General features: G+C 40.2%; 2 long non-coding RNA genes across 5 annotated transcripts in view, besides 1 other annotated feature; one reads left to right on the top strand and one right to left on the bottom strand.

The window, feature by feature from the left end:
* LOC105371358 (uncharacterized) overlaps positions 1–20,773 on the top strand; it is a 29,716-nt gene extending 8,943 nt beyond the window's left edge. For 2 of the 3 annotated variants that reach the window (XR_933777.4, XR_933776.4), the window contains exons 3-4: positions 3,293–3,414; positions 18,901–20,773. This is a non-coding gene — a long non-coding RNA (uncharacterized LOC105371358). The remainder of the gene's footprint in view (positions 1–3,292; positions 3,415–18,900) is intronic. The other variant, XR_933779.4, reaches the window with a different exon arrangement.
* LOC105371357 (uncharacterized) overlaps positions 1–27,356 on the bottom strand; it is a 117,137-nt gene that overhangs the window by 67,855 nt on the left and 21,926 nt on the right. The window lies entirely within an intron of this gene.
* Positions 15,833–15,902: a silencer, noted in NCBI's record as "silent region_7739". NCBI's record gives its function as "represses an Ori minimal core promoter by ATAC-STARR-seq in GM12878 lymphoblastoid cells {active_cell/tissue: GM12878}" and the evidence as "EXISTENCE:reporter gene assay evidence [ECO:0000049][PMID:35858748]".

Genomic DNA, 27,356 nt, shown 5'->3' with positions numbered 1-27,356 from the left:
TCCTTTGATCCTCTTCTATCATGCTTTGTGTTCTCAGAGCCTTCCCTACCTTCCCTGAACAAGTAAGTTGTGTTTCTGATTCCCTTTGTCAATCTCTATTGTTATTTGTCTATTTTACACCCTGATAAATTCCTCAGAGTGGGGACAGTGTCTTATTCATTATAAAATTCTCCTCCTTCCCCTACTCCTGCCCCTCCCACTTCCCCTTCCTCTCCTTCTCCTTCTGACACAGTCTTGCTCTGTTGCCCAGTCTGCAGTGCAGTGGTGCAACCTTGACTCACCATAACCTCTGCCTCCTGGATTCAAGCAATTCTCATGCCTCAGCCTCCCAAGTAGCTGAAATTACAGATGCATGCCACCATGCCTGGTTAATTTTTGTATTTTTTGTAGAGACAATGTTTTGCCATGTTGGCCAGGCTGCTCTCAAATTTCTGGCCTCAAGTGATCCACCCACCTCAGCCCCCCAAAATGCTGGGATTACAGGCATGAGCCACTGCACCTGGCCTTATTCATTATAAAATTATTATTTTGCTTAAGACAGAGACTGGACATAATGCATAATCACAAATACTTGCTGAGTTGACCTAAGGAAAAGCATTATTCTGATAAAGGATATCTGCAAAAATCAAACTAACAAATAATCCACACCAAAAATTATACTTAATGGTGAAATATTTAAAGCATTCCATTGAAATTGAGAATAAAACAAGAATGTCCCCTATTGTGACTTCTATGTAATGTTGCATCACAGGGTTCAGTAAGTGAAGGAATACAAATTTTAGAAATGCAACAATAAGAAATAAAGGAATGTAACCATCGTTAGCAGACATTAACATTACTGAAAAGTAGAAATCTAAAAGCATCTACAAATAAAATATAAGAACTAAGAACCGAATTTATCAAGGTTGCTAAATACAAAGTCAATGTGCAAAAATCAGTTGTATTTCTATATGCAAATAACTAGAAAATAAAATTAAGACAACGATGGCATTAACAATAGCATCACACACATTAAATTATTAGAAATAGCCTAATGAAAGATGTGTAAGACTTCTACACAGAAAACTATAAAATATCGTTGAAATAAATTGAGGAAGACTTAATAAATGGAGGCATATAGCAATATGTTGATTATTTCCAAAGGTACCTATATGTTCAATGCAGTCTTTATTTAACAATTGACAGGTTTCTATGTGTTAGTAAATCGACAAACTTCTAAAACTTGTGTAGAATTTTCAAGGGCTAAGAGTAGCCAAGACAATCTTGAAGAAGAGAAAAGAAAGTAGTATATGTACACTATCAAATATCAAGAATCATTATAAAGCTACAGTAAATGAGTGTAGTATTGAAGCAAGGTTAGAATAACAAAGTGATGCAAAGAAAAGAGGGTGTCTCAGTTCATCTTGTGTCGCTATGAAGGAATACCTGAGGCTGGGTAATTTATAAAGAAAATACGTTTATTTAGCTCACGGATCTGTAGGCTGTACAGGAAGCATGGGACCAGTGCCTACTTTTGGTGAGGCCCTCAGAAAGCTTCCAATCATGGTGGGAGGGGAAGGAGACTGAGAATGTACAGATCCCATGGAGACAGAGAAACAAGAGACAGCAAGGGGAGGGGTGCTACCCCCTTTAAAAAAACCAGATCTCCCATGAAGTAATAGTGCAAGAACTCACACTTTACCACAGGACCACCCCAAGCTGTTCATGAGGGATCCACCCCCATGATCCAAACACCTCCTATGGGACCCCACTTCCAACATGGGGAATTAAATTCCAACATGAGGTTTGGAAGGGACAAATATCCAAACTATTATCAGGGAGTTCAGAAACATGCACGTGTCACTCACTTTATGGCATAGATGACCCTAGAGTGAAGCGGAAAAAAATGGGCTTTTCAATAAATGATGCCAAGTCAATTAATTTTGTCCACATGGACAAAAACTAAATGTTCAACTGAAAACAAACACAAAAATTAATTTCACATGTAGATCTAAATATAAAATACTAAAATGTCTAGGAGTTAATACAAGTGAGAATCTTGATGAACTTAGGGTTAAAAACAGATTCCTTAAGCTGAATTTAAAAAGCACTAACCCTAAAGGCCAAGATTATAAACTAATATTAAAATTAAGGACTTCTGTTTATATTTTAAATATCCATTAAAAGAATGAAAAGATAAACTATAAAATGGATATTATGTTTGAAATCATCTAACAAAGGATTTATATCACACACATACACACAAATCAATAAAAAGGCAAAGCAATATAAAAATAAATGATATTTAAATGGTTATAAGCAAACGAAAGCCACAGTAAAATATCATTACTCATCCACCAGAAAAGCTAAAATGGAAACAATAACAAGCATTCTCCAGGCTGCAGAGTAATGGAAGCACTCGTGCATTGCTAGTGGGAGTGAAAATCGAAGCAGCCACTTTGGAACATTTTCAGCTTTTACCAAAGTTTACACACACATACTCTGTAACCCAGCAGTTTCACTCCTGGTATATACATACAACAAAATGCATTTATATGTACACTAGAAGTCGCACAAATAACAGTGTTTATAGAAGCATTATTTGTAATCACCAAAAATGAGAGCAGGTCAAGTGTCCCTCAGTGGTAGAATGAATAAATAAATGTTGTGTTAATATAGTGAAATTCTATGTCGCAAAAACTGTATTATGGATGAATTTCACAAACATAATGTTGAGTGAATAAAGCCAGATACAAAAGAGATATATGATATGATTCCATATACATGATGTTCAAAATTAAGCAAATGTTATTTATGTCATCAATAATTGGAATAACGGTTACCTTTGGCTGACTATATAAGGTCATAAGAAGAGTTTCAGTACATCACTGATGTATTTCTGATCTGGATGGTGGTTACATGGATGTGTTCAGTGTGTAAAAGTTCATTAAGTTGTATAGTTACAATGTGTATACATTTCAGTCTGCATGTCATATATTTTTAAAATACCGTAATAAGTGTGAACCTCACTACGTTTGTGCAATGATTTTCAAGACTATGACATTTTGCCTGGATTGCTCTTCCCCTAACTATCCTCCTGGTTAGTGTGGCATTTACAGCCCATGTCTGAAGGTGGTCTTGTGTTTGCCAAGTTTTTTTAAATACAGGAGTACAGAGTGACTGGAGAGGAAATCTGAGAGTTAACAGGAAGCCAGCTCATATAAGATCTTGTAGGCTCTTCTAGTTATCTATTACTCTGTAACAAATCATCCCCAAATTTTATGGCTGAAAACAACATTCTTTATTTTTCTAGCAATCCTACGTTTGGGCAGTGCTCAGCAAGGATGGTTATTGCTGCTGCACATGGCATCAGCTGGAGAAGCTTGATGCCAGGGTTGGAGAATCTGCTTTAAAGATAGCTCTTTTACACAACTGGTAAGGTGGTGTTGGCTGTTGGCTGGGAGCTCAGAAAAGGCTGTATGCTTCTCCTTGGGCATCTTGGACTTTCTCATAATGTGGTGGCTGGGTTCTAAGAGTGAGTGTCCCAAGAGAGCTAGGCAGAAGTACATGACATTTGTATGACCTAGACTCCAAAGTCACATAGTGTCATTTCTACCATACTCCATTGATCAAGGCAGTCACAAAGTCAAACAGAGTTTCAAGAGGATGGAACGCAGACCTTTCTTTTTGAGGGAGTAAGAAGCTTCCAGAAGAGGATATTGGATAGAGCATGTTATTTCAGCCACCATAAAAAATAAAATCTACCATATAGGCCATGGGAGGTCTTTGATTTTTCTCTTCCATTATAGGGTTTTGAGCAGAGAAGTGACATGATCAGAGACCTAAGATACTTTTTGCCTTATTATTTTACCTTATATTTTTGTATAGTCTTTGATACCTCAGAAAAAAATTTGTCCTGAGACTAAAACATATGGGTAATTACATATAGGATTGTGACCCTATGGAAGTAAAATGCCCAGCATATTATAGAAGATTGCCAAATGCTGGGTCCTTTAATAGTCTAACCTGATCGTGTCCAAATGCTAGACCTGGGCAAAACTAAGAGCTGTGGGTAAATTTACCTATGGGCCTCAGAAGTTTTGTACACAGGCATCTGCATGAATGAGGGAAGAGTGTGGAAGAAATCAGTTTTCTTAGGCTGGGTGCTGGCTTTCTGGATAAAGACCCAGGCTGCCCAGAGAAACAACACAGAGGCAGTATCTGTTGGAATGTGTCTTTACTCTTATGGTAGAGAAAATCTTCTCTTTATTTGGAGAGCTTTCCCAGTTCTTACACAGAGGCAGAAAAGTTTTGGATGAGGTGAGTGGAGAGACATAATGCACCTGCTTTCTACCCTATTGGGCTTTAGAGATTTGAGCATTAGATCTGCTCAAATCTGTGAAGGTAAGGTAGATAAGTAGGTCACAAGATGAGAGAAGAGAGAAGCCCAGGGGAAGACTCGGCAAATTGGATGAAATAATCTTTAGGCTACCTTTAAAGGATAATATAGCATCATGGAAAAATTATGGGTTTGGCCATCAAAGATGACTGTATTTGAATCCTACTCACTCTGCTCACTAGTTGTGTGACTATGGGCATGTAATGAAATTGCATTTTAATCTCTTAACAAATAAAAGATGATAATAGCCACCAAAGAGCATTTTGAGGATTAGATGTGATAATACATGCAATACCCTTAGTACAATTACAGTAAACATTCCAAAAATGCTAGGGCCCTAGCTCCCTCTAAATTGCCTCTATTTATTCCTTTTTTTATTCTCTGGATTGGCATAGTTAAGATTTTATATACTTGGCCAGGACTCCTGGATAATTTTTTCTAGAAATGACTTCTCAAGTCCAGAAAAGAAGACTCACTGACGTTCTAACATTTTTTCATGGAATTAAACAAACTTGGGAAGTAGTTTGATTTACTATGAATAGGAAGGATAGTGGAGTGAAGAAAAATGAATTTAACATTTTCTTTGACTTGTAACAACTGTAGCATTAATTTTAAAAACAAAAATAAAAATCTAAAGAGACAGTAGATCTCTGAATCCATAGAAAGTTAAATAATAATAATTTAGTGGATTGCTGATAAACCAGAATTTAGAGATATTTCCTGAATCTAATAATGTCCTATACCTAAGTATATTTCTGAGCCAATGGAGTAATCACTGCCATTGTCAAGAAGCACTTGTCATGCTTTTTAAATGTTCATGAAGTGTAGCTGGGAATGAGGCACACTAGATGGATGATGCCAGTGGAATCAGATTATAAAGGAAGACACAGTAGTTGGCCAGAGCCAGCTCTCCCAGATCATGAGAGTAGATAGTGTGCATTTCATCCTAACTTTCTGTTCACTATCATCAGTCAGCCTTATAGCTTGAAATCAGAAATCATAAGCCATGCTAAGAGTATTTACATCATGGAAATTGGCAAAAGCCACAAGTCAGTCCTTTCTTACTCTCCAAGGCTGGCACACCCCTGGATTGACAGGTCATGAAATAAAACATTTTAACAGCTTCATTAAAAGGTAAAGAAACTGTATTACACACAAAGATTTTGTCTTTATTTTAAATAGACAAATAAAAGGTATGTACTTGAGACTAGAGAAAACTTCAGATTTAGAACTTCTATTTTGAGTTCAGAATGAGTGGAAAGAAAACCAACTAATTTAATTAAAAAGAACTTCATTGTGTTTGAATTCAGTGAAAGGGGGATTTTTAAAAAATTGATTTTTGTTTTAAAGTTCAATAAAATTTTATTAATTTAATTAGTTCCTATCAGTTTTTAAATAAGCTGTGGCTTAGATTAAATTTGCTCACAGACACTCTCTCTCTTTTAAGCCAATCTCCTCTGAGCATATTAATGGATCTGGTCTTATAATTTTGCAGATGGAACACCATGGTGCTTTTAAATCAAGTGAAAGTTTTGGGCCAGGATTTTGAAGTATCTTTTCCATTAGGGTGGGGAATGGGAACGGAACCTACAAACCGGGAAAAAAGAGATTTTGGCAAGAAGCATGAAGGGGATTCTGTTCATGGCAGCTGTTAATTTAAGCCAATTCCACTGGGCATCCTGTTCAGTAAGTTGATTTAAGAGTGGGAGCAGGCATCAGACATGCAGGGTAGTCTGACGCTATGTTCTGTGTGTGGGCATGGGGTGAGCTGGAGGAACGAGGTGCATCGTGCAGCACAATCAGAAAAGAGTCACCTTAGAAGATGAGGGACCTACCAGAGGAACCCTGATGAGTTCAAAGATCTCGTCAGGGCATATTAATACATTCAGAGGAACAAGTAAAGAGAATCAACAAACAGGTAACAAGAATGGAGTTAAATTCTGAGGCATGAGAATCTAAGTGTGATAAAACCTTTTCCCAAATGTTTTCTTCCACATATTACTCCCACATGATGCTTTCCAAAAACAGGGATTTGCAATCTAATAATTTCACAATTTAGGGGAATACTCTAGCTGCTTTTGGAAATACACAGTGGGCATTGGTATATTTAGAGCTCTGATGAGTATTAGAGTTAATAAAGCAATTTATCTTTGCTTAACCAACACCTTTGAGCACAGAATAATTTCTGGCATCACAATCTGCACATTCATGTTCCACAGAGGATCAGTTTAAGACATGGTAGAGTGGGAAGACCTTGGACTTGGGATACAAATACTCCCAGGCCCAAATTTTAACTTCTGCCATATTACAAGCTGAGTGAGTTTGGAGAAGTCACCTCTTTGAGTCTCAATTTCTTTATCCATTAAATCAGGAGAAAATAATACCTTAGCTTGCAGGAGAATCTTTGAGGACTGGAGATAAGGTCTATAAAGAAACCAGCATGGCACAAGGCACATAACAGATGTTTAATACAGGGTTGCCTTGGATCCTCCCTGTACAGAGGCAGGTAAGATTTCAAAAGAGATTTGCCTCACAGGGAAACTGCTGAAATCAAGAAGTGGCAGAGAAGTTTGCAGAATCCAATAACCTGTCATCTCCTCTTGATACTCCTGCTTTCTTGGGGCAAACCTGGGGAGATCACTTCATCATTTTGAGCCTCATTTTCCTCAAGAGAAACTATGTTTGTCGGTGATAGAGTTCAGAGGCTTATTAAATACAATTTGGGGCAGGTAATGTAGGCAAATAGTGCACACAGGGTCAGCCTTCTGAGTTTGTTATAAGCAGTATCTATTGTTGAGCTTCTGTTTTTTCAAGCTATCTGTAAGAAAAGGGTTGTGTCTCCTAGAGGGCTCCAAGATCTGAAATGAGAGGATTAAATGAGATGATGTTTATAAAAACCTCAGCATAGGCCAGGCATGGTGTCTCACTCCTGTAATCCCAGCACTTTGGGAGGCTGAGGTGGGTGGATCACCTGAGGTCAGGAGTTTGAGACCAGCCTGACCAACATGGTGAAACTCTATCTCTACTAAAAATACAAAAAATTAGCAGGGCGTGGTGGCACATGCCTGTAATCCCAGCTACTTGGGAGGCTGAGGCAGGAGAATGGCTTGAACCCGGGGGGCAAATGTTGCAGTCAGCCAAGATTGCTTCATTGCACTTCAGCCTGGGCAACAAGAGCGAAACTCTGTCAAACAAACAAACAAAAACAAAAAGCCTCAGCATAAACAACAGTGCTCTAGAGAGAAGAGAAAGGCCCTTTGCCTTGTAAGAATATCCAGACTTTGCATGGTTTTACTTTGCAGCTTTTCGCCAGGAGCGGAGCTTGCCTGGGGGTTTCTGGAGGGAGTGTACCATGGGATTAGCATCCAAGTAGTCTTTTCCCAGCTCTCCAGTCATTTTTAACACAGCCCTAAACGGGCTGAGTCATGAGTAGAGGATTGGTTCAGATATTCATTTCTGACATATTTGCTGTGCAGTTTACTCATGTCAGGCATTTTGAATTACTGGGAGTAATGAGAGAAAGAAGGTGCAGCCCCTCCCTGACACAGCCAGTGGCTGGGGTGGGGGAACAGATGTACATGCTAACTGATCATTAAACCACAAAGCCATGAATGCTGGGATAATCCACAAAAAGTGCTTAGAATACTGTCTGAGCACATGATAAGGGCTCAATTCATCTTGATTACTATTATGATCAATATAATTATTATTATTAAACACACAGGTTGCAATGGGAACATCAAGGATGGGTGGGTAGATGGGGGATGGCTCATTTTGCCTGGAAGCTCAGAGAAAACTTCACAGAGAGAAGGCGATATTTGAGTCTTGAAAAGATGAGAATATGGCCAAGTTCAGGAGAGGGAAAGTACATCCCAACGGTCAAAGAAATATGTACAAAAGCCTTGATATGAACATCTGACCCATGCTGAGATGTCTGCAGGCATTTTAGCAAGGCTACAATATGAAAGGGGGGTGTGTGTGTGTGTTTTAGTGGCTAAAGATGAAAATGAAAAGATGAGGGGATAAGAATCAGTTTGAGAAGGTGTTTGCTCTTCATTCTGAGGAGTTTGGATTTAAGTCTGATTACAATAGAAACATGGCCCATTTATAAAAATATATACATTGAAATAATAAAAAATCTCTGACCAATTGATTCCAATTCAAGAAGTCTATTCTTTTTTCATTAAGGAGTCTATCCTTATAGAGCAGAATTGTTGTATCAAAATGTTAGACAAAATCTGAATAGAGAGGAATTGTGGAGTAAATGTTGATACAGTTCTATAATACAATTATGTAATTATTAAGATTGATATTAAAGAACAGTATTAAGTAGCTTGGGAAAACTAAACCATGTGGCATCAACTGAAAATGTATAGAAATAAAACTGGCTATTAGAGGACTCTTAATTTTATTACAAACTATATTTGGCTAGACGATTAGAAGGCAATATTCTAAAAGGTTAGAGTCATTACCTGCGGGTGGAGGGATCATGGAAAATTTTTATTTTATTTTTTTGAACTTATTCCAATCAGGGAGAAGAAGGGGAAGGAATCTTGGGCCCCAGTAGAGAAATGAGGTAATCAGCCCACAGATTACAGGCGCCCCCACTGCCCAGGCTTGCTTAGGTAAACAAAGCAGCCAGGAAGCTCGAACTGGGTGGAGCCCACCACAGCTCAAGGAGGCCTGCCTGCCTCTGTAGGCTCCACCTCTGGGGGCAGGGCACAGACAAACAAAAAGACAGCAGTAACCTCTGCAGACTTAAATGTCCCTGTCTGACAGCTTTGAAGAGAGCAGTGGTTCTCCCAGCACGCAGCTGGAGATCTGAGAATGGGCAGACTGCCTCCTCAAGTGGGTCCCTGACCCCTGACCCCCGAGCAGCCTAACTGGGAGTCACCCCCCAGCAGGGGGAACACTGACACCTCACACGGCAGGGTATTCCAACAGACCTGCAGCTGAGGGTCCTGTCTGTTAGAAGGAAAACTAACAAACAGAAAGGACATCCACACCAAAAACCCATCTGTACATCACCATCATCAAAGACCAAAAGTAGATAAAACCACAAAGATGGGGAAAAAACAGAACAGAAAAACTGGAAACTCTAAAACGCACAGTGCCTCTCCTCCTCCAAAGGAATGCAGTTCCTCACCAGCAATGGAACAAAGGTGGATGGAGAAGGACTTTGACGAGCTGAGAGAAGAAGGCTTCAGACGATCAAATTACTCTGAGCTATGGGAGGACATTCAAACCAAAGGCAAAGAAGTTGAAAACTCTGAAAAAAATTTAGAAGAATGTACAACTAGAATAACCAATACAGAGAAGTGCTTAAAGGAGCTGATGGAGCTGAAAACCAAGGCTCGAGAACTACGTGAAGAATGCAGAAGCCTCAGCAGCCGATGTGATCAACTGGAAGAAAGGGTATCAGTGATTGAAGATCAAATGAATGAAATGAAGCGAGAAGGGAAGTTTAGAGAAAAAAGAATAAAAAGAAACGAACAAAGCCTCCAAGAAATATGGGACTATGTGAAAAGACCAAATCTACGTCTGATTGGTGTACCTGAAAGTGATGGGGAGAATGGAACCAAGTTGGAAAACACTCTGCAGGATATTATGCAGGAGAACTTCCCCAATCTAGCAAGGCAGGCCAACGTTCAGATTCAGGAAATACAGAGAACGCCACAAAGATACTCCTCGAGAAGAGCAACTCCAAGACACATAATTGTCAGATTCACCAAAGTTAAAATGAAGGAAAAAATGTTAAGGGCAGCCAGAGAGAAAGGTCGGGTTACCCTCAAAGGGAAGCCCATCAGACTAACAGCGGATCTCTCGGCAGAAACCCTACAAGCCAGAAGAGAGTGGGGGCCAATATTCAGCATTCTTAAAGAAAAGAATTTTCAACCCAGAATTTCATATCCAGCCAAACTAAGCTTCATAAGTGAAGGAGAAATAAAATACTCTACAGACAAGCAAATGCTGAGAGATTTTGTCACCAGCAGGCCTGCCCTAAAAGAGCTCCTGAAGGAAGTGCTAAACATGGAAAGGAACAACTGGTACTAGCCGCTGCAAAATCATGCCAAAATGTAAAGACCATCGAGACTAGGAAGAAACTGCATCAACTAACGAGCAAAATCACCAGCTAACATCATAATGACAGGATCAAATTCACACATAACACTATTAACTTTAAATGTAAATGGACTAAATGCTCCAATTAAAAGACACACACTGGCAAATTGGATAAAGAGTCAAGACCCATCAGTGTGCTTTATTCAGGAAACCCATCGCACGTGCAGAGACACACATAGGCTCAAAATAAAAGGATGGAGGAAGATCTACCAAGCAAATGGAAAACAAAAAAAGGCAGGGGTTGCAATCCTAGTCTCTGATAAAACAGACTTTAAACCAACAAAGATCAAAAGAGACAAAGAAGGCCATTACATAATGGTAAAGGGATCAATTCAACAAGAAGAGCTAACTATCCTAAATATATATGCACCCAATACAGGAGCACCCAGATTCATAAAGCAAGTCCTGAGTGACCTACAAAGAGACTTAGACTCCCACACATTAATAATGGGAGACTTTAACACCCCACTGTCAACATTAGACAGATCAACGAGACAGAAAGTCAACAAGGATACCCAGGAATTGAACTCAGCTCTGCACCAAGCAGACCTAATAGACATCTACAGAACTCTCCACCCCAAATCAACAGAATATACATTTTTTTCAGCACCACACCACACCTATTCCAACATTGACCACATACTTGGAAATAAAGCTCTCCTCAGCAAATGTAAAAGAACAGAAATTATAACAAACTATCTCTCAGACCACAGTGCAATCAAACTAGAACTCAGGATTAAGAATCTCACTCAAAACCGCTCAACTACATGGAAACTGAACAACCTGCTCCTGAATGACTACTGGATACATAACGAAATGAAGGCAGAAATAAAGATGTTCTTTGAAACCAACGAGAACAAAGACACAACATACCAGAATCTCTGGGACACATTCAAAGCAGTGTGTAGAGGGAAATTTATAGCACTAAATGCCACAAGAGAAAGCAGGAAAGATCCAAAATTGACACCCTAACATCACAATTAAAAGAACTAGAAAAGCAAGAGCAAACACATTCAAAAGCTAGCAGAAGGCAAGAAATAACTAAAATCAGAGCAGAACTGAAGGAAATAGAGACACAAAAAACCCTTCAAAAAATTAATGAATCCAGGAGCTGGTTTTTTGAAAGGATCAACAAAAGTGATAGACTGCTAGCAAGACTAATAAAGAAAAAAAGAGAGAAGAATCAAATAGACGCAATAAAAAATGATAAAGGGGATATCACCACTGATCCCACGGAAATACAAACTACCATCAGAGAATACTATAAACACCTCTATGCAAATAAACTAGAAAATCTACAAGAAATGGATAAATTCCTGGACACATACACTCTCCCAAGACTAAACCAGGAAGAAGTTGAATCTCCGAATAGACCAATAACAGGAGCTGAAATTGTGGCAATAATCAATAGTTTACCAACAAAAAGAGTCCAGGACCAGATGGATTCACAGCCGAATTCTATCAGAGGTACAAGGAGGAACTGGTACCATTCCTTCTGAAACTATTACAATCAATAGAAAAAGAGGGAATCCTCCCTAACTCATTTTATGAGGCCAGCATCATTCTGATACCCAAGCCGGGCAGAGACACAACCAAAAAAGAGAATTTTAGACCAATATCCTTGATGAACATTGATGCAAAAATCCTCAATAAAATACTGGCAAAACGAATCCAGCAGCACATCAAAAAGCTTATCCACCACGATCAAGTGGGCTTCATCCCTGGGATGCAAGGCTGGTTCAACATACGCAAATCAATAAATGTAATCCAGCATATAAACAGAGCCAAAGACAAAAACCACATGATTATCTCAATAGATGCAGAAAAAGCCTTTGACAAAATTCAACGACCCTTCATGCTAAAAACTCTCAATAAATTAGGTATTGATGGGACGTATTTCAAAATAATAAGAGCTATCTATGACAAACCCACAGCCAATATCATACTGAATGGGCAAAAACTGGAAGCATTCCCTTTGAAAACTGGCACAAGACAGGGATGCCCTCTCTCAGCACTCCTATTCAACGTAGTGTTGGAAGTTCTGGCCAGGGCAATCAGGCAGGAGAAGGAAATAAAGGGTATTCAACTGGGAAAAGAGGAAGTCAAATTGTCCGTGTTTGCAGATGACATGATTGTATATCTAGAAAACCCCATCGTCTCAGCCCAAAATCTCCTTAAGCCGAAAGGCAACTTCAGCAAAGTCTCAGGATACAAAATCAATGTACAAAAATCACAAGCATTGTTATACACCAATAACAGACAAACAGAGAGCCAAATCATGCATGATTGAACTCCCATTCACCATTGCTTCAAAGAGAATAAAATACCTAGGAATCCAACTTACAAGGGATGTGAAGGACCTCTTCAAGGAGAACTACAAACCACTGCTCAAGGAAATAAAAGAGGATACAAACAAATGGAAGAACATTCCATGCTCATGGGTAGGAAGAATCAATATCGTGAAAATGGCCATACTGCCCAAGGTAACTTACAGATTCAATGCCATCCCCATAAAGCTACCAATGACTTTCTTCACAGAATTGGAAAAAGCTACTTTAAAGTTCATATGGAAACAATAAAGAGCCCGCATCACCAAGGCAATCCTAAGCCAAAAGAACAAAGCTGGAGGCATCACACTACCTGACTTCAAACTATACTACAAGGCTACAGTAACCAAAACAGCATGGTACTGGTACCAAAACAGAGATATAGACAAATGGAACAGAACAGAGCCCTCAGAAATAATGCCATATATCTACAACTATCTGATCTTGGACAAACCTGAGAAAAACAAGCAATGGGGAAAGGATTCCCTATTTAATAAATGGTGCTGGGAAAACTGGCTAGCCATATGTAGAAAGCTGAAACTGGATCCCTTCCTTACACCTTATACAAAAATCAATTCAAGATGGATTAAAGACTTAAACGCTAGACCTAAAGGCATAAAAACCGTAGTAGAAAACCTAGGCATCACCATTCAGGACATAGGCATGGGCAAGGACTTCATGTCCACAACACCAAAAGCAATGGCAACAGAAGCCAAAATTGACAAATGGGATCTAATTAAACTAAAGAGCTTCTGCACAGCAAAAGAAACTACCATCAGAGTGAACAGGCAACCTACAAAATGGGAGAAAATTTTCACAACCTACTCATCTGACAAAGGGCTAATATCCAGAATCTACAATGAACTCAAACAAATTTACAAGAAAAAAACAAACAACCCCATCAAAAAGTGGGCAAAGGACATGAACAGACACTTCTCAAAAGAAGACATTTACACAGCCAAAAAACACATGAAAAAATGCTCATCATCACTGGCCATCAGAGAAATGCAAATCAAAACCACAATGAGATACCACCTCACACCAGTTAGAATGGCAATCATTAAAAAGTCAGGAAACAACAGGTGCTGGAGAGGATGTGGAGAAACAGGAACACTTTTACACTGTTGGTGGGACTGTAAACTAGTTCAACCATTGTGGAAGTCAGTGTGGCGATTCCTCAGGGATCTAGAACTAGAAATACCATTTGAACCAGCCATCCCATTACTGGGTATATACCCAAAGGACTATAAATCATGCTGCTATAAAGACACATGCACACGTATGTTTATTGTGGCATTATTCACAATAGCAAAGACTTGGAACCAACCCAAATGTCCAACAATGATAGACTGGATTAAGAAAATGTGGCACATATACACCATGGAATGCTATGCAGCCATAAAAAATGGAGAGTTCATGTCCTTTGTAGGGACATGGATGAGATTGGAAATCATCATTCTCAGTAAACGATCACAAGAACAAAAAACCAAACACCGCATATTCTCACTCATAGGTGGGAATTGAACAATGAGATCACATGGACACAGGAAGGGGAATATCACACTCTGGGGACTGTGGTGGGGTGGGGGGAGGGGGGAGGGATAGCACTGGGAGATATACCTAATGCTAGATGACGAGTTAGTGGGTGCAGTGCACCAGCATGGCACATGTATACATATGTAACTAACCTGCACAATGTGCACATGTACCCTAAAACTTAAAGTATAAAAAAAAAAAAAAAAGAAAGAAAGAAAGATCATCTAAGATTAACAAACACATAAATCCTAGATGTAGTAATGGAATCTGGGTCAGTCTAGCTTCAGAGCCCATGAGTACAACCAATGGACACTGTCCATTGCAAGAGTTTTTCGTTTGTAACCAACATCAGTCTCTTAACCAGGTATCACTGCATCTATCCTCATCATAACTGGTGAGAGAGTCAGGACCCACAATAAGGTATCCATTTCCGGAATGAAGGCAGTGAGGTACTGAGATCCATTTATTCACTCATCAAATATTTGAGTGTTTGTTGAATGAGTACAGTGGGCAAAATGCCACATTTGGTAATGAGGATGACAATACTTATGGTCTTAGACTAGAACCTGTTAAAGTGTTCCTAAGGCTTGATGACATGTTAAGTGGGACCAGTGTCCTTAGTGCTGGCCTGAGTGCCAAGTTCTGTGTTCCCCTTGGCCATCTGTATGGGAGTCTTGTCATCTAATAGAGAAACCTCTGAACATGCTATGTCTCCTTTGACGGATCCCTTCCTCCTCTGAGCCTCCCTCTCTCACTAAAGAACAATAAGGCTGCATTCAATAATTTCCAAAGTCTTTCCAGTTTTCAGGTATAATTCCGCATCCCACCTTAAAAAAAATATGGTTTCTTATGACACAGAGGGAAAGACTAAATCACACAAATGAAACAATGAGTGAGAAAAGTGACATCACATGTATGAATCAATTTGTATTCAGTTCAAAAACAGGCAAAACTAACCTATGGAGCTAGAAATCAAGATACTCATTACCCTTGGAGCAGAGGGTAACTGTAAGAGTGAAAGAAGGATGCTCCTTTAGGGACCAGATGCATTCTGGGTTTTAATGTGAGTGCTGTTTCCACCTGTATATTCACTTTGATGTTTTGCCAACCTGTATTTTTGCCAATTTGGGCTCTTTTATTTATGTCTTTAAAAATACCTTCATAAAATAAATTCAAACAGAATCTAAAGAGAGTGGTAGGGTAGGAAGTGCTTCTGGCGGCATCAGAAAGAGGTCAGGAGCTCCTGACTTACTTTGTGACCAAGGCAAGTCAACTCACCTTCCCTGAGCTGTGGGAGGTCACTCAGGGCAACCGCCTTATTTTACAGATGAATGCCAGAAGGTCTACGCAATCAGCACTGGGTGGCTTTTCCCACTTCTGAGCTTGGATGGGTAGAGGACAGGCTGTGCCTGCAGCATATACCCTGGAGCCTGGAGGCCTTGGAAGGAGCACACTATCCTGAGTATTCAACAGGTGGCAGTCTTTGCTCAGTGTCAAGATGCTTTGGGTCCGCAGGGCTGCTTTTTAAAGGCAGAATTAGCTAGGACGCTAATCTTGAGGAGAAAGGTTTCTCTATTTCCCGGGGTGGGGGTCTTATCCCAGGAGGTCCCAACTCAAATATTCCTGCTCCTAGCCATTCTATTTAGGGTTCTCAGTTCTTCCAGGAGGAGCCTGAGACAGGAGGCTCCCCAAACCCCATTCTATGGAGCAGTTTGCCCCAGCCATTGAGCCTGCCTCTACTGGGGGTCATGGGCCTCACTCAGGGTCTTCCTTCTTGGGGGTATATCTTTGAAAACAAGAGAGAGAGAATTTTCTGGGAACCTGGGTGAATGCTCCAACAGAGAAGGGAGTGTGAATATTTCATTAAGGTGGCTCGAGGTATTACACAACATTACAAAACCAAGTGTGTTGGCAGGAATCTGACAAGCACATTTAAATGGGTGAAAATAGCAGGAAAAGAGGCCCAGAGTGGGGAAAGACTCAGGGAAGGCCTCTGTAGGGCCCTGAAGGGAGGGACCAGCCCTTTAGGGTCTCCTGCCAGGTCTATGTGAAGTAGCCTCCATCACCATCTGCCCTCACCCCAAGCGCATTCCAAGGTGACGGTGCACTCGGTAATGGCAGGACAGGGGTGACATTCAGCAGCTCACGAACTTCTACCCTCAGACTGGGTAGTTCTGGAGGATGGGGAGTTCTCACGCAATACCTCCTTGGTTTTGACCTCTCAAAAGGGCTGGAAGAGGCTTAAAACTCAGAGCTACTCCAGGAGGCTGCCCTAGAGTCTCAGATGTCTGGATTAAGTGATAGTCGAGGCTGGAAAAATATACTGAGACCTATTTGTTAAGGTTGTTGTGAGGTTGGGGTATACCATGGGGTTCAACGCTTCTCTCTAGTTGATGGACAAGAAGGAACAAAGGCCTCTTTATTTAAAGCATTGAAGATTTTCTCCTCTGTGTCGTATCTCATCATGTTTTCTTCTATAAAACAAGCCTATTTCTGCGGAGATAATGAAAAGAATAATATAAAAACATGCATTGAACTATTATAGGACCAGATACTCTACTAACTTTGCACTTCTTATTTTTTTTATAAAGCACTGAAGTACAAACTATTACTATCCCCATTTTACAGATGAGAACATAGAGGCTTAGAGAGGTTAAATAACTTGCCTAAAGTCATGCTCCTAGTAGATGTCAAAAAGGAATTGAAATCTAGGCCTGTTTGAATCCAGAGCCCACATACTTTATCTTTCTTGGTTGGAGAATGTGTCAAAAACCTCCCTGAATTTTTCAACTCACTCATAATCCAAGGGAGGTGTGGTGGAGGGGAATTCATGGAACAAGACAAAGAGTAAAGACATTGGAACAAGAGAAAACCTGGGTCATTTATAAAGTATGTCTCTTGTTCTGAGCACTTGGGAAAGCAACTTTACTGTGCAGAGCCTCTGTTTTCTCTAGTTGCTGTGAAAATGAATTGAAGAACTATCTGTAATGTGACAAACCTGTTATCTGGCATGAAATAGATATTCAATTAATGTTAAAGCCCTTCTTTTCTTCCAGCTTCCCTGCACCTGACTAGCTAGATCTAATTATCTTACAGGGTTGGTTCCTTCTTCCCAGGAAGAGTTTCCTCAGAGAGACTGCAACTGATGACTCTAAACCAGAGCTATGTAACTGTTGGATGTTCTCTGCCTGCACCTTGAACTCCCATCTCAATACTTAATTACATTGTACTGTACATTGTTTAATTATTTATATTTCCCTCTATGACTGACAACTTGATGTGGCAGAAAATGTGTCTACCTGGTTCACTATGGACTCCCAAACTAGTAGTAGAGAGACTAAAATGTTAGAGTACTAAATAAATATCTGTGGATGGATGGGTGGATGGATGAATAGGTGAATGGATGGATGGAATGATGGATGGATAAATGTATGGATGGAAGGATGAATAAAATGGAAGGATAGGTTAATGAACGGGTGGATGAATGGATGAGGAGGCCGGGGATGGAAAGACAGATGGATAGATGAATGGATGGAGAAATGAATGGATGGACTGATGAATGAATGGATGGATGGGTGGAAGTATGGATGAAATGGATTGATAGATAAATGGACAAATGGATAGACAGCTGGATAGATGAATGGATGGAAAAATGGATGGATGGGTGGTTAGATGAATGGATGAAATAGATTGATCACTGGATATAAAGGATGGTCTGCTTAAGTATCTCAATTTATAACATTGTGTCTATCTCACATGTATACACACCGGTGTTTTGGGGAATGTTGTCTGTTTACTATTAATTCCTTGGCTTTTATCATTGTAGGGATGCTTTTCCTAGGCAGAAGCAACACCCAAGGCTCTCTCTGCCTAAACAGATAAGAGCCATTCTCCAGTCCAAACCCACAAACAAAAGCATTTTCTAGATGTTTTTCTTCACATACTTCTAGGAAAAAAAAATCTCGCTGACAAGAGAGGATGCCAAACTCAATCACTCATTACAATGACTGTCCTCCACTCAGGAAGAGGGGCTGCTGACTTTTGAAAACTTAGATTTTTTTTTTTACAGTGTTGATAGGAAAGAGGGGAACTGATAGCCACTGATAACCAGGCTGTTAATTGCTCTGCTTATCAGAAGACGGTCTTTCATTGCCATGTGTATATGGGGAGCAGGTCGTTCAAAAGGCAAAGCAGTATGTGTGTGAGCAATGATCCTGTGGCTTGGCAGTGACAGGGTCCTAGGGGAGAGGCCAGGGTTCAGGGAGGAGTGAGGGAGGGCAGGGCCAGTGGAATACTCTCAGGTTAATCTGTTCTTACCAACGGCACGTTTCTCCAATACACATACTCCACGTACTTGAACTTAATAACCTTGGAAAGCACAGTAGTAGCTTAAATCTGTTGGGCTGTAAGCAGATTCCAGTGTTCTTGATTCAGCTTGACCAGAGATAAATCCTGGTGGGTCTCAGAGCGCAGGATGTCCTCGCCTTTGTGTCCCCTCCTTCCACCGGTCACACTCTTCCCCTTCTATTTTTGTAGGTGTCATTCAGGAGCTCTCTTCATGCCCACAATATTCCCCCTTCTAATTGAATTCTCAAAGTAGAATCAGATCAATACAGAACCCTGAAGGTATCGTGATTGAGAAGGCTCTCAGCTGCACCTGCTACTGGAATTATACCTGTGATCAGAAGCTCCTGTTTTTATTTCGACAAAGAAATGGAATTCATAAAATAGAGTAACAGACTGCCCCATAAAGGAGAGTATGGTGGTGAACTCTCAAGAACTATTGCAATTATTTCCTAGAAGGAAGGAGATACAGAAATATAAGAAACGAATGCAAAGAAGGCAAGGAGAGCAAAAAAGAACAGGAGGAAGGAAGAGTGAAAGGATGAAGAAGAGAGAAGAATATAGTGTTCATTGAGTATCTGCTCAAATTAAGGATAAAGCCACATGTTTTCGTAAATTTTCTCTAATATCCATAGCAATCTAGTATCCATAGCCAAACAAATAAGTGACTTCCACTTAACAAAGGAACTGAAGCCCAAAAAAGTTAATATGGACGAGTCACACAGCAACTGGGATTGAAGCTGAATAAATCTAGCTCCAAGGCATTCTCTTGTAGGCTGCTCTTCTCATGTCTGCTAGGATTACATGGGTCAAGCACAACCCTGTCAGGTTTCAGTGATCAGAAGGACAGAACCTTGCTGTTAGACAGAAACTAGGGTCTCTATACTGGGCCAACTCCTTGTTCTCAAACTCAGGAGCTGGAATTGCCAGACCTTGGAACCAGCTGACTGGAGACTGTGTCCCCATTAAAGGAAATGTCCAGGATTTCATTTCATGTTATGTCCCCCCCCACCGCCCCACCTCTTCCTCCTTAGTGCTTTCTTTCTCTCTGATATCAGCTCTGCTACAGTTTGAGGCAAGGGTTGGGACTAGAATTGTAGTTTTTTGAATCTCAGTGTGGTTGCTTTTGGTACTTGTTGAGGCCTCCATGTAGTCAAATTCATTATCGTATATAAAGTTACAATTAAGAGTTGGAAATAATATATGAAGATCAGATGGAGGATGTGAGGCTACAAATCCCTGACATCTACCTCTACATAGCTAATCTGTGAAATGGGATTATCATGGTATGATGTGTCCAGAGCGGTCCTCATTATGTCATCCTTTCAGTCTATTAGTAAGATGTTTTGAAGGCATTACTAGAAAGCATTCAGTAGATATAAACTATATGACCCTAGAAAGGAATTCACATGCCTGGTACATTGAACAATCATCACTGAGGTTGCTCAATAGGGCTGATAAGGACTCCAGGGAAATAAGCTAGCATAGGTGTAGGGGTAAGGGAACTGAAGTCAGTGTGCTTGACTCTATGTTCCAGCTTTGACTAAATTTCCTGGTTCTTCATTTTCTCAGTTTTAAAACAAATGAAGATGATAAAAAAGAGCTTTCTTATGGCCATTCTCTGCCTAATACTTCATGTCCCATAACAGCAGCTCTGAGCAAGTATCTAGCTCCCTTAGAGTTTTTTGATGGCCTCCTTTGATGCTCCCTGCTATTCTTGGGATAAACCCTAAAGTCTTGAGGTGATCTGTGGGGTTCCTTCTTCTCTGTGCCCTAGCTATCTTTGAGCCTCAGTTTTTATTTGCTTCCCCCTTCTACCCTCAGGTTTGTCATGCTGCCTTATGGGCAGGGCCCCTGTGCCTGAATCCCCACCTCACCTACCTCTTCCTGCTTAGTGCTTTCTTTCTCTCTGATATCAGGTCTGCTACACTTTTCTAAGGAAAGCAGTTCTGACCCTTTTATGCATGTCAATTCTCCTTCTGTTATATGTCTTATTTACCACATAACTCTTGGAATCATTTTATTATGTTGCTGTTGATTTGTGAGTTACCTTTTTTTTTTTAAAAAAAAGAGCATAACAATAAACTCCATAAGGTTTGAGATCAAATTGTTTTTATGTTGTTCATTTTGTCTCTACTGATGACCTGTGATAGAGTCAGATATTTGTTGAATGAATGAATGAATGGACAGATTGGGGGAGGCATGGAAGGAGGTATGGAGGAAAGTAGAGAAAGAGGGAGGGGGGGGGAGGGAGGAAAAGACAGAGAGATGGAGGGAGGAATGATCACCAGATGGAGCTGACTTTTCTCTGAGAAGATATTTATAGTCAATTACAAATGAGTGGACCAGTCAGATGTGATCCTATTTCTTCATGTGGGATATATAAAGATGTGATATAACTCCTTTAAATTTCTTCAAATTCCCCGAGACTAAGACCCCAAGGAAGCACCCCTAGGGTGCTTGAAGCCCTGAAGGGGAGGTTCCATTCTTTCTGAGCTCTGGCAACTGGGCTGTGGACATTATTTATTACCAGAGAACTGCTAGCTTGTAAGATGCTCATCCCCTGCCACGTTTATTATATACTTTTTTGATCAAACTGTAAACCAACAAGAGAGTGCTTAGCAATCATTAACAGCTGTTCTTGGAAGAGGACTAGATCATATACTGGTACATTTTACAATGTTCACCCTGGCCACTGACTGTTCCACCTCTGTGGCCATGCATGTCCTCTGTAGCTGGACATATCACAAACAAGCCTCCTGGCTAAAATCAGAAAGGGAAGGAGCAAGAAGCGTGCGAGAAAGAGCCAAAAAACAATTTACTCCCTATAAAGTTGCTGAGCAGCTTGAGGCCACTGCATTTTGGTTTGCTGCTAAGTGAATATGTAACTACTTTATATATTTCAACAAAATTAAACTTAAACCTACAGAATTAGGTTTATTAATTTCTGTCAGGGCACAATGGGGGAATAAGAATGGCCATTCATTATGGACACACAATTACTGGAGACAAAAATGAAGCCCAGCACTATTAAGTATAATAAAAATGTTGAACACTGAGGAAATTTTCATTAAATATAATCTATTCTTTATATTACTACACTTAATCCTTGCTGTCTACTCCTCTGTTTTTCTCCAACCTATTTAATTTTATTACTTAACTTTTTATAAATGTTTCTTAATATAATTATGATTAAATATTTGGGAGGAGAGAAGAACCTTAGTCTCTTAAAAAAGAAGAAGAAAGGAAGAAGAAAGCTCTTTCCTTCTTCAGTCCTATGATAGTGAAAAATGATGTTTTTTGAAAAAAATAAGTACTAAGTGGGATTTTATTGTTGGGGCAAGGCTGGAACATGAGAGAAGGGAAGGCAATAAATAAGAAAAAAGAAGCACTGATCAGCAATTGTAGTAAGCTCTTAATATTACACTTTAAATAAAAGTCCATTGCCTTACTAAAAGTGTCTGTGAATATTTGCATGGCCAAACCATGTAATTAAAAGATGGGCCTAGCTGATGTTATTGCTTGTGCTACATGGAAACATTTGTGATTCAAGCATTTATTTTTTTAAGCCAGGATAGATTCCCCTGCTAGAAAGCTTTCTCTTTTTTTTTTGAGAATGAACCCTCCATTCTGCTCTCTATAGGAAGAAAGTGGAGGGTTAAGTATTAAGACGTTGTGGTGTCTCAGGCAAACTCTCCAAACTTCTAAAAACCAGAAGGAAAGCTGGTCATGTGGCCATGAGCAGGGGGATAGTGGGACATTAAATGGGAAGCAGTACAAATTCAATTTTATTTGCCAAAAGGTAGTCACTGTGCTTTCAAGCTTCTTAGCGGACATATTGTGTAGCATGGTCTTATGTATTTTTTTGATACATAATAATCACACGTATTTATGGGGTGCATGTGATATTTTGATTCATGCATACAATGCATTTTTAAAACACAGCTCAGTTAGGAAGTAGCAATTATATAAGCATGGGACTTAGGGATATTGAAATGAAACAGTGACTCACACTTATGCCAATTAATGACTGCTTTAATGACTACATTCAGAACAGAGGGGTCCTGGTCTCATGGCCATTCACCTCAGGAGTCCAGTTCCGGGCACCACAAGTTTAGTTTTAAAAGTTGTCTCTTTTCTACATTTTCAAGCTGTGCAAGAAGAAAAATCAAGCTTTTACCATTAGTTTCTCTGTCACACAGCTTGAACCCTATACTCCCGATATGCTTATTCTGTTCTGCTACTAAGCTGGGTACTTGATATTTGCATTGTAATGATTGTGTAAATTTTATTCATAGCTGAGTCATGTAGTATATGGTATGATGACCCTTTTTTAAAAAATTATAGATCTGTTTCTTCGGAAGCCAACAATTTTTGTTGCCATTGTTGTTATTATAATTATTACTTTTTGCATAGTTCTTGACATATACTTATTCTTCCCCCAATCCTGCCTACCATTTGTGTAAATCTCAAAACTAGGATATTTTGTCAATGCTATTTTCTTCAAAATGGCCCTCTTGAGCCTTCCTACCTGCTCCAATCTGGATTGGAGGCTCATAGCTGGGGTTTGGGGATCCCCTGTTACCACCATTCTGGGTGCCCTTCCCTCTCTTGTGCTGAGTCTGTTTTTTCCTGAGTCCCATACTCTCTTCTTGATCCACCCCTTTCCCCACGATGTTTTGTAACACATATTTTCTAGTAACTTCCAGAGGAGGAATGCATGGGAATTAAAACGCCGAGAACTTGCCCTGTTAGAGAAGTTCCCCCTCACAGCACTGTCTGAGTGATCTCCCCCGTTTTCTCCCTGGAACATCATCTTATTTTAGTCCTCTGCCTAATCTTCACTCGAACTGACAATATTCTTATTTATGTATCGGCTCACTTTGTTTCTGGGCTTCCCCACAAGAAAGTAAGGTCATGAGTGCCAGGACCTTGCCTTCTTTGCTCACTGCTGAGCCCCAGTGCTAAGAACAGTAACAGAACCACTAGATCATCCATGAATGTTTGCTGAATAAAGGAATTGATGAGCTTATTAGCTTTCTTGCACATATGAATCTATACAGAGAAGGAGGTGTTGGAGTTTTGGCCCTCATTTGATGTAGCCCATCGTTAGGCAGAGGACATGTGGTTCTCTGTATGAATTCTCCATACGAATGAGAACATACATCAGCCTTTCAAAATAAAATCAATAGCAGCCTTCCCTGATGCCACCTACTCCTGGTCTCTCCAGCATGGGGCTTTCTTTTCAGCCAAAGATGCAAAACACCTAGACTTCAGGCCCTCCCTGGAGCTTTCTGTCCTGTAGGATTTGCTATTGCTCCCCAAAACAATGTGAAGAAATGCTTGATTCTCATCTTACATAGCTGGCTAGATTGGAACTCTGCAAACTGTTTCGAATATGTGAGTGCATGGTATGTGTGAGTATGTGTGTGTGTACATGTAAGTAGACATTGTATGTGTGTGTATATATACATATGTTTGTGTTTATAAATGACATATTGATTACAGTAATATAGCCATTATAAAACATGTGAAAAATAGAAATGAAAAATAGAAGAAATGAAAATAACTTTAATTGGAAACGTTGATATTTTCTTTGTACACTCTATTCAATCATTATGTGTATACCCTTTTGGAAATCCTGATTTAGATTTGTATGTATCAAACATCAATGTGCTGGGGAAGCACCTGGAGGGCTTCTTAAAAATTTAGATTTTGGCTGGGTGTGGTGGCTGAATCCTATAATCCCACCACTTTGGGAGGCTGAGGCGGGTGGATCACTTGAGGTCAGGAGTTCGAGACCACCCTGACCAACATGCTGAAACACCGTCTCTACTAAAACTACAAAAATTAGCCTGGTGTGGTGGCGGGCATCTGTAATCCCAGCTACTCAGGAGGCTGAGGCAGGAGAATTGCTTGAACCCAGGAGGCAGAGGTTGCAGTGAGCCCAGATGGCACCACTGCACTTCGGCCTGGGCAACAAGAACGAGACTCCGTCTCAAAAGAAAAAAAAAAATGTAGATTTCTGTGCTCCTTTCAAAGAGTGGCTCACTAGGACGTACGAATCTGCATTTTTGCTACCTTCAAATACTGACTTAGACACCCTGAGCATTGCTTATTTGGGAAGATCCAAGCAAGTCAACATATTGGGATTATGTTAGCTCAGCTTCTGGTGGAATTGCCTTCACAAATACATTTAAATAAATAGCAACCTTTCGGATTTGATGAGAAAGATTATCAGTTAACAGCAACAACAAAGATCACAGATCTTTCATTTCTGTAAATTTCATTGAAGAACTATTGTCCGTGGTGGCCGTGGATGCTCCTTAAATTATACATTCTTCAAATTTAGTGTGAAGGGTTGTTTTTCATAAAAAATGGTCCAATGGTACTAACAGCTAGCTATTTTGAATCCCGTATTTTGCATCGTACTCAGTGCTAATCACTTTTAATTAGCACTCACAAGAAAGACCATTACAAAATAGGTAATAGTATCTCCAATTCACAGATGTAGAAATTGAGGCCTAAAAGTCACTCCTGCCACTAAACAATGCAAAGTAAAGCAGAAACAAACAAAAAACCTTGATTCCAGACTTGCAAGGTATGATGTGAAAACCTAGAGAAGTGCAGAACTCACCTAGGATCACAGAGATGGTGAGTGGTTGAGTTGGACATTAGCTGGGGCCTCCTGACTCAAGCTCCATGCTCTTGGTACAAGGCTGAGACTTCACTCCCTAACTCCCCTCAACTGATGGTTGGCTCTGAGCTAACTGGGACAGGCAGAGACGTTTAATCAATTCCTCTGTCTTCCTTCAGTTACATCCCCTATCAGCTGCTCAGCTTTGTAACCTTCCTGTGATAAGTAGTGAGCAATGCAAAAGAGAATTCAAAATGATCACAATTCATCATGTCCAGTACACCCCAGAATGAATAGGACCCTGAAGTTCTGCTCCAATGGTTCAATGATGCCACATTATCCTGGAAAAGACTCCCGTATACTTAACATCACTGATGAGCTGCCACTCAGCCCATACCACACACCCTCCTTGCTGGGCTGGGCCCCCTCCCTCTATCCATATGTTTGGCATCAGTTACGCAAAACAGGTGGACGCCAAGTAGCATTCTCTCTTTCCACCCTGATGTTTTGGCATTGTCTACACATGGCCTCTGGAGGCATTTTGATGGATGCTCTCTTCTCCCTATCACAGTAATATTAACCTTGTTTAATAATCTATTAACGCAGAGGATAAACATCTTGTTAACATTCACATGCTTTCTTTGCCACTGAAATAACACTACCTTTTTGTACACTTTAAAGGCTTACTTTTTTTTTTTTTATGACAGGGGTTGATAGATGTGGTGGAAAGGTACTGGCAGAGAAACAGGAGGTCACCTGGTTCAGATCCCAGTCTGCTGTTTACTGATGTGACCTTGGTGAGGTCACCCAGCCTCTCTGAGTCTCTGTTTTTTCATTTGTAAAATGGAGTGGCTGAATCTATATTGCATTGCTATTTTGAAGTTTCAAGAAAATATATATAAAGTGTCTAACTTGAGACACAGTAGTCATTAATATATATCAAATCTTTTCACAATCCTTACACCCCCACGAAATGGGTTTGCATAGAATTGAAATTAATCCCCTCAATGAGTATCCCCTTTACGATGCTTGATTTTGGCTCCTGAGCATCCTCCCCCAGAGACAGAAGCTATACTGTCTACCATGATAGCTGTGCCTCTGCATCAATTCAACCAACATTTGGTGGAGAAAAAGAAACCCAATGGACAAAGCTATGGTGGATCTTCAGAAATCATTATAATGACACGGAAGCAGCCGAGTGACTTGCAAATTCCATCTACGTATTTGTAGCCAGCTGACAAGGAATGGAAGAGAAGGGAGGAAAAAGGCCTTAGTCCCCTTCGCGGTGCACGTCCCGCCTACCTCTTACGGACTACTCACTGGTGTGCTAGAGGCCCCAGCCAGCTGTTTTACAAGCTTCACCATGTGTAAGTATCACTGGGCATCCTGTGAAAATGTAGCCTGCAAATTGCGAATGCAGATTTATTCAGTAGGCCTGGAATGGGGCCCAAGACTCTGCATTTCTAGCAAGCTTCCAGAGCCTGCTGCTGCAGGTCCCCAGACCACTCTTTGAGTGGCAGGCACTCTACATTTTGTACAAATCATTCAATTGGCACAGATGCTTTTACATTCTTTTCTGCTCCATCTACTAATTCCTCACTCCTTCTGCCTCGCAGTGAGTTACATTCTCCTGTATTTCCTTTTCTCTCTCTCGGCCCAGTGATTCTTTAAAGTCCCCTTGTTTTTCTTGGTTATTACTGTCATTCTCCTTTTTAGACTCTGAGTAACAGCAAACAACGTCAAGTTTAATCTCTCAAGGAGGAGTTTGCATCTGGAGATGGAAAAATAATAAAAATAAACAAGTAGACAACATCACAAATCCGCGGAACAGAGTTCCAAGACAGGAAGTTAATATATTAAATAGTAGTTAAAAGAGGAGGGTTTTCTTTTCAGCAAATGTCACATGTCTGGTGTTCAAATAGAAAGTTTAAAATTTCTGACATTGCTAGGAAATTTGGGGAGGTATTGCTAAGATGCTGCACAGATCTACCAAGATTCTCATTTTCATTGC

This window comes from Homo sapiens, chromosome 16 (assembly GCF_000001405.40).
Source record: "Homo sapiens chromosome 16, GRCh38.p14 Primary Assembly".
Taxonomy (NCBI): domain Eukaryota; kingdom Metazoa; phylum Chordata; class Mammalia; order Primates; family Hominidae; genus Homo; species Homo sapiens.
Note: the sequence above shows the minus strand (reverse complement) of the source record. Positions and strands in the feature narration are given on the sequence as shown.